Raw genomic sequence first — 2,285 nt, forward strand, 5'->3', positions numbered from 1 at the left:
GGAACTGTTCAGATCAAAGATTGTGAGTGTCTGAAATGGAAGGAAAAGTGGAATAGATAGGATTGGGGCAGGCTTTAAAATGATTTTCAAAAATAAGTTCCGGATTTTACCTAGTGCCTACTGGAAAGGTGTCTGGGGTGGGTCTTGAATTTCTGGCTTGATTGCTGCCTGGATGGGGGTACAATAAAGGGAGTGTGAAGACAGGAGCAGTTACAGGTAGGACAGAGAAAATGCACTCACTTTTGAACACGTTGAGTTTGATATCTATTTAAATGACTAGACATGGTTACTTAATTAGACATGTCCAGCAGGTAGTTGTATATTCAAGTTTGGAGATCAGGATTGAAGATATATATTGTATTTTTAAAGATTTTTATATATGTGAGTTTTCAAACTATGAAAGTGAATGAAATTGATAAGGAGAATAATAGGTGAAGCAAACAAAAATGTGAGCAGAATGATTGTGAGGCAAAGCAAACAAACAAACAAAAAAGTTTTTGTGTTAAAGCCTAAAAGAAGAACTGATTTTGCAGTTCTGGTTCAAATGAACCATCCTAAGAAAATAAAATGGAGCAAAGATGTGGAATCCTGGTGAACTATGATCTACATCAAAACATGACCCAAAAGGAAATTAGGCATGTTGGTATGGCAGGTGTAATTGCTATTCTGCATGGTGCTACATATGATTGTCCTCTCTTTATCTATCCATTATTACATGTTTAAAAATGATTAACCTAATTAAATGCAGATCTATCTGTTAAGGCAAACAGAAATTTTAACTGATCACATGCTCTTATTGGTCTTTGAACTAATATGGAATATAGACGCAATTGGATTCCTTTGCCAGTGTCAACATCAATTACATCGAAATAGAAGTGTGGTATTCACCACTGGAAATTGATCCTTCTTAGATAATTCTACACAGCAGGACAATGCCCTTAGCAAATGATGATGTTGTATGAGCCACAGGCAGCTATTTCCATGCGTGTAGCAGGGTGCTGGCATTTAAAAAAAAGATTTTGCCGCCCAATAACACTTACATGATATAAACATTTGGGGTCACATATAATAAATATTGAGGTCAAACACACAAAGATAATATGCTTCTTTTGCCTCAAATTTTGTAGAGAACAGCAGTCAGACAATGCTAGCTGGGATGACAGATACTTCAAAATAGTACCTGCATAACTACTGTGATGCTTGATGACATTCGTCCCATTTAGTATAATTGACGCCAGCCAAGAAAAAAAAATCACTACTGTTGTAATAAGCATTTATATAGAACTTATTTTGGCAGGCTGTCTTCTGGAATCTTCATATAAATTTATTCTTTTAATTCTCACAATAACCCTGTTCTTTAGGTATGATTATTATTATAATTTTTGAAGATGAGGCTGCAGAGACAATATAAGTGATTTACTCATGTATTTCCCAAATATGAAATAACTAGTAACTAGCAAGGATGGGTTTAATTTATTTGTCTATTTATTTATTTATTTATTTATTTTGAGGCAGGATCTCACTCTGTCACCCAAGCTGGAGTACAGTGATGCTATCATGGCTCATTGCAGCCTGGACCCTCTCAGGCTCCTCCCACCTCAGCATCAGCATCTGATGCTGATGGGCTCCTCCCATCTCAGCACAAGTAGCTGAGACCACAGGTGCACACAACCACACCTGGCTAACTTTTTAATTTTTTATAGAGATAGGGTCTCGCTATGTTGCTAAGGCTGGTCTCGAACTCCTAGGCTCAAGCGAATCGTCCTGCCTCGGCCTCCTAAAGTGCTGGAATTAAAGGTGTGAACCATTGCCCCTGGCCAAAGGATGGGTTTTATACATAGGTGGCATGGCTGCACGGTCTGGGGTTTTAACTAGTGGATCTCACCTCACTAATACTACCTCTCAGCTCACTGTAAATACTTTGTAAATGTCCACAGTTGGAGACAGGAGACACAAGAGCTGAGATATCCCAGTGACAGAAGACTGTTAGACTAGCAAGGATAGGTTTAGAACATTAAAAGATCTTCATCTGCAGGAAGAAATAAATTTATCTTCTTCATCTTTTTAAGGGATTCATTATCAGAAAATGGAGGCTGTTCATTTAATCCTTGCCTCTGAATGAAGATGCAAAGATAAGTGAAATAATGGAATTTCAACTATGGCAAATTCAGAAGTCTGTGAGTAACGTTAATGGGTACTTGAGGGCAGGTAGGGTTAGCAATTATATGTCTCAGAGCCATAAGGAAGACTGTGTAGTCTTCAAGTAATGAGACATCCAGTTTTCC

Source organism: Homo sapiens, chromosome 2 (assembly GCF_000001405.40).
Source record: "Homo sapiens chromosome 2, GRCh38.p14 Primary Assembly".
In the NCBI taxonomy this organism is placed as follows: domain Eukaryota; kingdom Metazoa; phylum Chordata; class Mammalia; order Primates; family Hominidae; genus Homo; species Homo sapiens.